The sequence below is a fragment of the Homo sapiens genome, chromosome 14 (genome assembly GCF_000001405.40).
Source record: "Homo sapiens chromosome 14, GRCh38.p14 Primary Assembly".
Classification (NCBI taxonomy): Eukaryota; Metazoa; Chordata; class Mammalia; order Primates; family Hominidae; genus Homo; species Homo sapiens.
In genome coordinates, this window is record NC_000014.9 from 78,632,194 (window position 1) to 78,644,675 (window position 12,482).

Consider the following 12,482-nt stretch of genomic DNA (forward strand, 5'->3'; position numbering starts at 1 on the left):
AATATACACAATTCCCATGATTTTTTTCCTATTGTTTTATGATCCGTATTTATATCCCAAAGTATATGGTTAATACCTCTAAGTTTTTGCTGAAAATCTAGCCTTGTTGAGCAGATACAGGTTCCTTTAGCAGCTGGTGAAGGGTGCTTATACTTTAAAAAATCAGATAATGTATGTGAAAGTGGTTTGGAATATGTGACATGCTATGCAAACGTGTATTTTTTTTTTTAAAGAAATGAATAGCTCGTCTCCCACAGGCATATTATTGACAGGGGTCTTTGCAAAAGATACACAAACCTAAATAGGAAGCAGCATGATCTAATGGAAAGCATATAGTCTTTGGAGGTTAACATTGGCTTGTATTTTGGATCTGCTTTCAACTGGAAATATTAGAAGGATTTAGTCCCTTCTGAGCCTTAGTTTTATCATTTGAAAAATGGGCTAGTAAAACTTTATTTCACAGGGCTTTTGTGAGGGATAAATAAGAAATATACAAAGTATCCTAATAAAAAGTTCTCATTTCAGATGAAATATGAGCATGTAGATATGCTATCTCTATTAATAATTCATTTGTTCTGTGTTGTTTTGAACTCTTGTAACTTTAAATCACTAAAACAGGTTAATTCTTGTCAAATGCTATTTACATCGTGTTTGTTTCATTGAAGCATAATACAGGTTCAATAAATGTTAATTTCCTGTTCTTTGTATGCTATAGCAAAAATAAAAAATCTTCTGATGCTTAAAAAGACTGGTAATAGTCGGCTGGGCGTAGTGGCTCACGCATGTAATCCCAGCACTTTGGGAGGCCGAGACGGGCAGATCATGAGGTCAGGAGATTGAGACCATCCTGGCTAACACGGTGAAACCCCATCTCTACTAAAAATATAAAAAAATAAAAAATTAAAAAAAAAATTAGCCTGGTGTGGTGGCGGGTGCCTGTAGTCCTAGCTACTCGGGAGGCTGAGGCAGGAGAATGGCATGAACCCGGGAGGCAGAGCTTGCAGTGAGCCAAGATCGCGCCACTGCACTCAGCCTGGGCTACAGAGCGAGACTCTGTCAAAAAAAAAAAAAAAAAGAGACTGGTAATAGCCTGAGATGAAGAAATGACAAAAATGAAATAAATACTTTCTTCTAGTTTTATGCACCATATTAGTACTATAATTGAATATGCAATCACTAAAGATTTTCTTCTTTATTTAGGTTTCTTGAATCAGGTCACCGATTTTTAAGTCTGCATCCATTTTAGAGAACTCTCCCTCCCCACTCCCCTTCAACATATCCCATCCTCTTTCACCTATCCATTCAGATTCTTTCATTTAATTATTTCAGACCCTGGGAATTAGCAGTCCCTTCTTGAAAGCATTGGAATGGGGCAGTTTTAATTTTTATTAGTATCAGCTTTCTCCTCCTCACTGCCATATTTACTTCTTTGGGAGGAAAAGGAAGTGCATATGTAGCTATAAAAGAAGACATAGCCCAGGTTTCTAGGATTTGCACCTCCGCATTGGCAAATTTTCCCAGTCTGTGTCTCCAAACAGGGTTTTAATCACCTGGGCTCTTGTCCTTGGCATTGAAAGCTTTAAGAGTACTGCAGAAATGGTAAATTAACCACATTTAACAAAATAGAAAGTTTTCATTGTGTCATAAAAAGCCCTATTGATCTTGTTCAGGCATTGACTCCAGGTCCTTTTAACAAGCCACTCTGTCTAGACTTGCAGGCTAGAGCCCACAGTGCTAACAAAGGAGGAGCTGGGCTGCCCTCCCTCCCCCTGCAGGGGAAGGCTAAGAGGATGGGCACAGATTCAGGCTTCTCAATGGGGATTTTCTTAAAGAACTAGCATGATTTTATTCTGCTGTGGAAAGGAAAAGCATTAGGAGACTTGTGGCAGATGTACCTGTCACTTACTCCAGACTCCAGCCTTGTTTGACTCTCTGTGTCTGCTGTGGAACTACCCCATCATAACAGATTAACGTGTCTTCCATATCCCTCAGCTTCCAGCAACATTTCCTCCTGTTGCCCTTAGGAAGGTAGGCTGAACTCTGATGCCAACGCACGGAGCAGTGGGTCTCCAGAAAGAGCGTGGAAAGCAACGATGGGGCAGGAGGAGGAATTGGCAACTTTAGAATCACTGTGACCAACTCAACTTCATTTCAATTCAATTCCACAGGTCTTTACTTAACAAATTCTGGGTAAACAGGAGATTTTGAAAAGGCAAGAAAAATTGCTGCTCACAGCGTATGGTTAAAAAGTTGACATCCATAAATCAAATAACCAAAGAATCATTCAAGATTTATTGGGCGGTTAGACGTTTTATTGGCAGCAGAGATTTAACTTTTCAAAAAATGATGAAGTATTTCAAACATAAAACATGTAGAACCTATAGTAGAGGATATTGCAAACATTGCTTTACCCATCACTCAGATTGAACAAATCTTAATGTTTTGCCATTTTTGCTTTATATCTTTTTGTAAAGACTTAGTCATGTTCGAATACCTTCCTGGTTCCATTTATTCTCTTCCTCCTCCAAAGTAACCACTACCTGAAGTTGATGGGGAGATTTTCTGTATACATATTTCTTATTCTTGTTACATACAAATAGAGCTGTAGTATCAAATAATTAGTGATCACTATATAGCTATGTGTATGTATGTGTATATATATATAAATTAGTGGGGGTCAATTTTATCAGCCCCTCATCATTTATATTCATTATTCTCTATATATTCTGGGCTGAAGGAAGGACATGTTAAGTAAAATTCTTTAATACCTTATACTTCCCTGTTCATCACCCAAGCAAAACTTGGTACCACCTCTAGATCCCACTTTCCTGTTTTAGGATCAGAAAGCATTTGGCTCCTAAAATATCTGTAGGAAGTTTCACATAATATCTGATTGTCTTGTTTTCTCTAGATACTTAAAGGTGGGGAGTTTTACCAAAAATATAATCTAATTGCAGATTTATTAAGGCAGGAAGTAGATTACATTGTCTTCTAAGATTTCTTCTGATACTATGGTGATAATTGTTACAGAGAATTCTTTACTTGTTTTCATCTTGGGCTAAAGAGATATTTGATAGAAATAAACATTTTAAAGTTCATATGGTAAAAAATTCATACTTATTGCTTTGAAATATCTAAATATCTGTATGAGTTTTCCCAAATTCTGTAAACCTTCATGACTTCTATATTATTTTCTAAACATGTATGTGTGAATATAGTGAGTATCTAATTTTGGTAGCAATTAGTGTTGATATGTGTGCTACTGTATATAAAAAACATTTCAGATGCTCTACTTTGGGCTCTAGATTCATTGTGGATATTTTTCATTATTATTAATTTTGTTTGTATGAAAATTATACAAAAATATACAGTGTTACTAGGGACACAGACCTCTCCTCTCCAGCTCTGTGTCCCTCCTAACATTTTTGTCCTTATGAAGTCCACAGAATGTAGTGTGACAGCATGGCATTTGCTATTCCAGTATAATCGCCTTAGTTATTGAGTACTTTTGATGATTCTTTTTGGTCTTGGCCAAGGGTGAAAGGATATGTAAGTTTGTGAGTATGTATATATTGTACAATTTTTTTTGTTCAAAAACTTCAAAATTCTATGTGAAACTTATTTATAGGAAGTCAATTCTGGTTAAGTTCTCCACCATCCTAATTACTTATATACTCTGTGTAACTTCAGGAAATGTATTTTTAGGAAACACTGTAGGCTAGAGCTGGCTTTGACATTATTGATATATTTTCTTGTCATTGAACTCATGTGGCTCCAGATGTGCCTATTATCCCTCCAGTCACAGTGAAAGCAACCCAAGGACCAGTTTGATATCCTGAATTTCTCCTGATACTTTTATTTTGGTGCCTATTTCAATATTTGTTGAGCGCTGAGGTGACAACCATAACATTTCCCTCTGATTTCTGAACTGATTGTGTAATAGACATAAGAGTCAAATCATAATTGTGTCAAGGATCCAAATATCAGTTCTATTGCTGGTAGAGTTAGAGCATGTGGCTTTTACTGCAGTAAAATTGGGCTTCTTTATAATTTTTCCTTTGAATTAAACTCAGCTACTCAGCAACAGTTAGAAGAGCCAGAAAACTGCAGGCCTTCTTCCATAAGGGCAGAGTTTACTGTGGTAAGGATTACTGCATGGGACTGCCTAAAGGAGAACTCACAAGCCTTGTAGAAAGAAATAGAGTAAAAGGCAGGTCACCTGGGAATAGTGACTATCTAATTACGAAATGTAGAACTAGGGTATCAGACCCTTACTACAGCACCAAGCAGATGAATCACTGCAGGAGAATGAATAAAGGAGACATGGTCAAAGTGTTACTCCAAAATGATCTCTTCTGGGGAATGGGGAGGAAATGTTCTCGTGGAGTCACGGGGGCAGGAAAATGGATTCCCCTCTGTAAGACGGAGTGCACTATTTGTGTTCAATGCTTGTTTGATTGACTGACCCATAATTAAAATGAGAAACGAATACTGAAAGAAGCATAATTACAGTTTTGCTTATATGGATCTGGTGGTTGACGGAAAGTAAAATATACAGTACATTACATAAATTATTGTAAGTGGGAAGACAGGCATGTGCAGTACAATTGGCCCAGGTTGTGTATTTCTTTTTTTATTTTTTATTTTTTTAGCAATATCCGTCCTATCTTAGAAATGTCTCCTGGATCCCTATATTACATAAATTATTATAAGTGGGAAGACAGGCAGTACAATTGTGTGCAGTACAATTGGCAAACAATTGGCTCATGTTCTGTGTTTTTTTTTATTTTTTATTTTTTAGCAATATCCATCCTATCTTAGGAATGTCTCCTGGCTCCCTCTTCACCTCTCTAGCCATTTGTCCACCCACTGGACCCCTGGTACAATACAAGTATAATTGTGCCACTCATTAGCTGAATTTCTTCTCTGCTAATTCCCCATCCCCAGTGCTCAAGAATGTAGAGAAGGCCCCAGTCTGCATCTTGAGCCTATACATGTGTCCATTGCTCTAGCCACCTTGCACTTTTCACCTTCTCCTAAATACTCTGTGCTCTTCTAATGACCACACCAATGGATATGCTGTTTCTTCTAATTAGCATTTCATTCCTCCCTTTGTAGGTAAACTATTCATAACTCAAGACACATTTTAAGTATGACCTCCTGTATGGAAACTTCTCTTATGCCCAGGGTCAGTTATTCCCTCTTCTGTGTGCCTATATCACCTACCAAACCCTTACTACACTGGTAATTATTTGCTTGTGCATACCTTCTCAACAACAATGATAGCTAACACTTCTATGGCTGGGAACTGGGCCAAGAACTTTATTGTATTCCTGCCTCACAGCAACTCTATGAAATATGTACTATGGTTATTCCCATTTTGTAGATTAGGGAAAGAAGGGTTAGAGAAGTTAAGTAATAAGCTAGAGTTCCATAGATTTAGATAAGTTTCAGAGCTGGCTGCCAAACCCGCATCTGTCTGATTGAAAGCTTTTCTCATCACAGTTCATAATGTAAGTCCACTGTTCAACCAGGCAGAGTGCCCTGTTAACATGAATCCGTTGTCAGGGCCTGGCACATAGCAGGCATTCAAAATTTTTTAGCTTTACAATTTCTTTTTTTTGTAAAATGTCAGCTAATGATTTATACTTACAAGGTTGCCATGTGACTTAAGTGCATTCAGCACTGAACACATTACCTGGTGCATAGTAGGCACCTGTGAATCTTTACTTTTTAAGTGAATAAACAAAAATGTAACTTTTATTGTAATGCAGTTGACAGCAATTCAGTCTTTAGGATACCATTAGCTTTCTAGTGATTTCAGTGAAGCGTGGTTTTCCAGGCCATTCTTCTGTGGACGGAGGCAGCTTCCCTCACCAGGATGCTGGCTGTTTATTTTCCAAGTGACAAGTTGATTTACTATTTTCCTTCTCATCACTTTCAAGAAGCATCTGCAGGCTAGTGAGTGACCCAGGCAGTGTGGAAAAGTCTATTTATTTCTCTGCTGCATCTTTCCTACGGAGAGTCTGAGGATAAGGGTTGGAAATGGCCTCAGGAGGTCAGATTTCCTGTGTATTTTCTTTTGTAGTGCAGGATTGCTCAGGGCGACACAATTTCCCGTCTGCTGGTACACTCTGCTTTTAAAATACCTGTGTGATGGGATGTGTCAGGTAAAGAATTTTGTTGTTTGTCCTTGGGGGATGGCTCTGCAGCTTGATCTCTCTTAATGCTTTCTTTGGCCCTAAAATACATTGTAAGGGAAATGAGACAGGGAGAGCCAAGAGTGCAGTTCACTTGTGCAATCTTTTGCCTTTTAACACAATCATTCTGTTCCTCCCTAAATTCTAGCAGGAAATGTCATTAAGTGTACAATAGAATTCACTCCACTAAAAGAATTTCTACTTTCCCCTCACTTTTGCAAATATGATCATCTCACAGCTCAGCAGATAACTTGGATGTCTGCTCACAGCTTCCTAAGAGGCTCTTAGAGGTAGGTGTTCCTGTTCAGTATATTGGATTCTTAGCAGGTTGGATAGTAAGGAAACAGACTTGTAGAGGAACGAACTCATACTTGCCTTGTTCTTTTGCCAGCAAAATACTCAAATTGCTGTTTTAGCTCAATATACCTTTCAGCACTGAGGGTATATGCAGCCCCTCCATCCCCCAGGAATGAGTAGAACTGTGCAATCGTGGACTTATTCCCTAGACGTTTCTTTCTGCAGTTGTGTACTCTTTTGCCTTGGAGCCATTACTTCTTTTGTCATTACTGAGGCTTCTTTGCCTGGAAAGCACTGGCCAGAATTGGGTGATCTGTGAGTTCACGACTTGAGAACCTCCAACCTCTGATTGCAGTTGCACTGGTGGAGAAGGCACAATATAGCCCCTGCTGGGTTTGTCTTCACAGAGAGTAAATGAGTTCACAGGCTGGCCACAAGACCACAGGCCATCTCTTTGCCTAGCAGGCAAGGCAATAGTAGCCCACGTGTTTTTGTGCCTCATTAGTTTCCAGGTGGGCCAGGCCAGGATGGGCAGCCAGGTTATCTTTGCATGAATACAGACTAAAGTACTGCACTGTGCTGCTGTACGAGACCAATTTGAAGGACAAAGGCTGCATGCTACAATGAGAACAATTTCGCTGTGTCTCTGAGGCTCATCATCAGGAAGCTGGCTCCCACTCCTTTCTGGAGCTCAGCAGGTGTTCTTCACAGGACCACTGGCTACAGCCACTTCAGAGGGGTCAGCATTTTAACGGGCTCTTCTAAGTATCTAAAAATTCCATTTCTAAGGCTCTCTGTTGGAGGTAAAGAGTGTTATCTTCTCAGATTGGCTTTTTTCAGCTTGTTGTTGAGAATTTGGAAAGAAAGTCAACCTACTCCCCTACTTGCCTGCTTTGTTTCCTGCTGCCTACCAGGGCTCTTGTCTACCATTGTCAGTAGTTTTACCTTTCAACAGGTTGAACCTCATGCAGCTGCAGAATATCAGATATAGGGTGCTAGGCATCTGCTTTGGGAATCTGAGTTCCTGGCAAAGTAGTGGTATGGTGTAGTAGGAAAAGCAATGGAATGAAAATCATAGCGTTACAGTTTTGGAAATGGCACTCCGTAGTACCTTGTATGACCCCTGTAAACTCTATGTGTCTCTATTTCCTCACATTGGTGTAATCATAGTAAAATGACCTCACAGAACATTGAGAGGATACAAATAATGATTAAGAAGGCATTTGGAAATCCATGACACGTCCAGATGCATGTAAATACCTGCTTGCAAATGGCCCTAGAATCCTTCTTTATCAATGTCTGACATGTTTTCATTTTCAGTCCTTTCTTGACTAATTCTTTGTCTTTTTCTGCCAAATTTTGCCTTTGGTCTTTGGCTTTCCAATGATTGCATTTGGATCTTAAGTATCCACACTTTGGTTTCCTCCTGTGTTCTCTGGCTTGCTGTGCCTCTGCCTCTCTTAGGTTGTTCTGCTAGGAACTTCTGCTTACATTCTTGCCCAGTGAAGTGTAAACCTCACTATATCCAGGAACTATATCAACATCTAGGCTGAACCAGTTCCAGGCAACCCCTGAAAAAGTAGTTCAAATGTATTTCTAAAAGATTATGCAATCTCTTAAAAATACAGGTTGAATCCTTCTATCCTTCTCAGTAAAATTATGCAATGGTTCCCCATAACTTATAGAAGTTCAAATTTTTTGCCCTTAAAGCCCAGTTTGGGTTTTTAAGACACCAAGCCATTAGGAATGGCAGGCCTAATTAAACAGTTGCATGCATTTTCCCCACACTTCTTAGATTGCATAGTAATAAAATATAACACTGAGTATTTTAATCTGCTTTGGAATTTCTCAGAGAAATAGAGTGATTATTATATAAATTATAAGTTGGGTGTCTTTTAGGGGGAAAGAAGTGAAGAACAGAATTAAGTAAATGCTTATTAATACTAAGTATATATCAGTATTGAATTAATCAGCCATTTGAAAGATCAGTACTTCATATATCTTATACAAACTGATTTAAAATCTTGAGTTATACATATCTAGATTGCATCTAGTGTTTAATCAATTGGACACTTACAAATAATGGATAAATGATTTGTTGTCATACAGAGTTGAGCTTTGCTTTTCATGCAGTGAGAATAATACTTTTCATTTTTACACTTATGCAGTTGATTGTAAACTTTGGGATGATATAATTTAAATGGATCTAAACAGTCCATTAGCTATGTCAGTGCCTCCTCTCTTGCCAAGCTATAGTTTTATGCTAAGCTGTTGTGTACTGTATTACATAATCCCCTGCATTCATTTTCTCCACCTATTTAGCTTGAATAAATACAAGGTGACTGCATTGTCTCTTCAACCTACTTCTCAGTAAAAACACCAAGTATAAAAAACAGATTTTTGGGTGCTATTTTGTTTTTTCTAATGGAGGATTCAAAGGATTGAATAAGGTTAGAAATGCATGTTTGTCACTATTTGGTTTTGCCCCTTTTAGTTACCCTTACTGTCAACTTAGTATGGTTTTCAAGGTGATAAGAGAGTGGTTGAGTCTCAGCTACTGGAAGGAAATTAAGATAGATTGGAGGTCTTAGAAGAAAAATCATGTCAGTTGTGCAAGTGGACAAAACAATGATTTCTTCAAGGTCCTCATTTTTTTCTCCTTCTCCTTTCTAGCCCTTGATTTGCTCTTTTAAAGACTGGGTTATTGGGAGGCAGAGCTTGCAGTGAGTCGAGGTCGTGCCACTGCACTCCAGCCTGGGGGACAGAGCGAGACTCTGTCTCAAGAAAAAAAGAAAAGGACTGGGTTATGCATTGCTAGTGCCTCTTACCCCATAACATGTAGGGGAAAATTATTCCATCACTTGAAAATGATATACATTTGCTTATGTAGGATACGATTCAGAGAGAAGCTTTCAGTTGTCTATTGTTTGTTGACCAATGGAGGAGATATCCCAACATGGTAATGCTGATCTTGGTAGCCTCCTCTGACTCAGGGAAGAGGTAAACTGAGAAAATTCTTCACTGGATGAAAAGATGGGGAAGGTTGTGAATGGTTACAGCAATTTCTGTTAAATATTTGCAAAGGAAGGCACTTGGCCACATAAAATCTTCTTCGGTATAGTTGCATGGAGATTAGCATAAATATGCATGTGATTTGCATAGGCCTTTTCTTCCTCACGTTGGTTTTAGTTCTTATTTATTTATGGTGATATTCTCTTCTCTACACTGATGCCATTTTTTCCCCTGTGGCCTCCCACATAAAAGAAGTGTTTTTGCTTTAAATACAGATCTAAGGGCTGAAAGGGAAACATTTCTTTTGGTGAATGAGTGATTCATGTAAGGTGAGAGGAATTGGTTTCTGGCTCAATTTATTCAAAGTTTGGGATGGTTTGTCAGTCAATGCACAGTTCCATGGAATCATCTGTGGCCTTTGACAAGACAAGTAGGAGCATCTGGAATATCCAGAGTGATGGGCAAAGGGAAGATAATGAATATTTAGACTAAGAAAAGACCAGACATGCCCCAAGCCCAGAGTACCACAAACTAACTGTGATGTCTCAGGCAACTCACTTATTTCTAGTCATCAATTTCTTCCTTAATAAAATAAGGGCATTAAATCAGGCCATCTCTAAAATCCCTTATAGCTCTAAAATTTATTATTTTGACAGACTCCTTGCTCTAATTATATAAAAAATATTAAGCACCATGTAGCACATTAAATAATATCTGGTGCCTTGCTGTTCTGTCAAACTTTTCCCCTTTGAAGGGTACTGGATGATTAATTTAAGCTTCTCTTTATAGGCACTACTTTCCTTGCTCATTTTTCTCAGTTCAGTGGGCACACAAGGTATAACTTAAATGTTTATAGAAGACACCCATTAATATACCACTTGCGGTGCCAAGGACATGCACAGTAGTTGGCTTTGTGGACATCCATGTCTGTAGAAAAAGAGCTTAGTTGTGATAACGCCATTTGATTTGTCACCTTCTACTCTAGATCAGGGTCACCTCCAGGTCTCCTGAGCAGGGCCTTGTCCAATTGCATTTTAACAAAGACGATTCTTCAGAAATGAGGGGAGAGATCATGACAATAGACAGAACATTTGGGGAGTGGATAGAACTACTTCAAACACGCAGACAGTGTTGAATTTCTGCTTTATTATTTTTGGGGGGCTATTTCTGCTAAAATCCAGTATGAGTTATGGGCTAACTACTTATACATGTGCAAGCTACCCTGTGAGCATTTATAGGTGAACAGGTCTCTTTTGCTTATACCAATGTGTGTGCAAGCAGACATATGCAGGTAGATACATATGACTGGGCTGCTCTGGAACACACAAGAGAAACTTGATCTCTTCTTTAACTCCCTGGAGTATGAAGCTGAGGCTGATGTTTTAATGATGTCATAATGCTAAGATTAATTTAACAATATGTAGTGGGTAGAAGTCTTTTCACATTATAAAATATCTCCTTTTTACAGCTCTTACTTTATGATGAAAAAATATTCATTTTGCCTAAGAAATTTACCTGGGGCTGTAATGGTTAACACAGATCTGAGTTGAAGTGGACTTGGCTTTGGTTAATTAGCCTGGAGTGTAGTTCCGGCAGGGAAAATATAATTCTCTCAACCTTATTTTGTAGCCTCCAATCTTTAGAGGGAAACTGTATACCTCAACTATTGTTGCCATTTTCTTTTAGTAATGAGGTGCTTTTGATAGCTTTTGACCAACTCTGGTATGAAGTAGACCATTCTAAGTAAGGCTATCTGGCAAGAAGACAAATGGAAGGTCATAACACTGTGTGTCAAAATTATAGATCGAATCAACAAATAATTAAATAAAATATATTTCACCCTCTTACCTTGACAAATATACCTTTAAAACTAGTTGGAAAGCCAGGCTCAAATTTAGAGTTTTTGGATTCCTTGGAGTTCTGCATTGGGAAATAGCAGCACAAGGGGAACCAGCCAACCCCTAGTCCTCAACCCATGGTCTACTCCCTTCTCTTCCCACCTTTGGCTTTGTCCTATATCATGAAGGGTCTGGTATGAATGCATGTGGTTGCCCCAGCCTAATGGAGAAGCCTTATCCACATCTCTGCAAATAGTCTCCCACGGCTACTCCTCAGACCTTGCAATATGTATGGTTTGCCTTTAGAAAGATGGATCAAGGGCTGGGTGCAGTGGCTCACGCCTGTAATCCTAACACTTTGGGAGGCCAAGGCAGGCAGATCACAAAGTCAAGAGATTGAGACCATCCTGGCCAACATGGTGAAACCCTGTCTCTACTAAAAATACAAAAGTTAGTCGGGCGTGTTGTCACACACCTGTAGTCCCAGCTACTTGGGAGGCTGAGGCAGGAGAATCGCTTGAACCCGGGAGGCGGAGGTTGCAGTGAGCCGAGATCACACCACTGCACTCCAGCCTGGTGACAGAGCAAGACTCAGAAAAAAAAAAAAAAAAAAGGAAATAAAAAGAAGAAGAAGAAAAAAGAAAGATGGATCCAGGGAAGAGGCCTGCACAAGCCCTGAAAAACAGGCTTAAGGCTTTTTGGGTGGGCAATTACAGGGTCCCAGTCTATGAAATATTGTCTTGAAAGAGTATATGGGCTCCAGTAGAATGCGATCTTGGCCCCATGGAACTCTAGTTCTGTGGGGAAGGATAGTTCTGTGGGGAAGAAGAGAATGCCGTCCTGGCCCTGTGGAACTCTAGTTCTGTGGCCATAGGATAGTCCAACCAGGGTCTTCAAAACAGGATACCCTAGAGCAGAGAGTCTTGAGTTTAACAGTGGTATTGCTGTCTTATCAAAACATATCAAATTAATTCTCTTCCCCTCTCCTTACCTGCTGTATCACCTGCTCAGGTCCAACCTCCTACTTAACAACTCAGCCATGTTCCAGGGGGCTTAGGACTGTATTATAGAAACCAAAGTTAGCTGAGTTATTGACAGATGAAAATCCCAGCCAGATCTTTCGGGGTAATTTATT

The 12,482-nt window shown here is 39.2% G+C and overlaps 1 protein-coding gene across 52 annotated transcripts in view; it reads left to right on the forward strand.

The window, feature by feature from the left end:
* The window catches only part of NRXN3 (neurexin 3), a 1,697,919-nt gene that overhangs the window by 461,821 nt on the left and 1,223,616 nt on the right, over nt 1–12,482 (forward strand). The gene's annotated exons all lie outside the window — the stretch shown is intronic.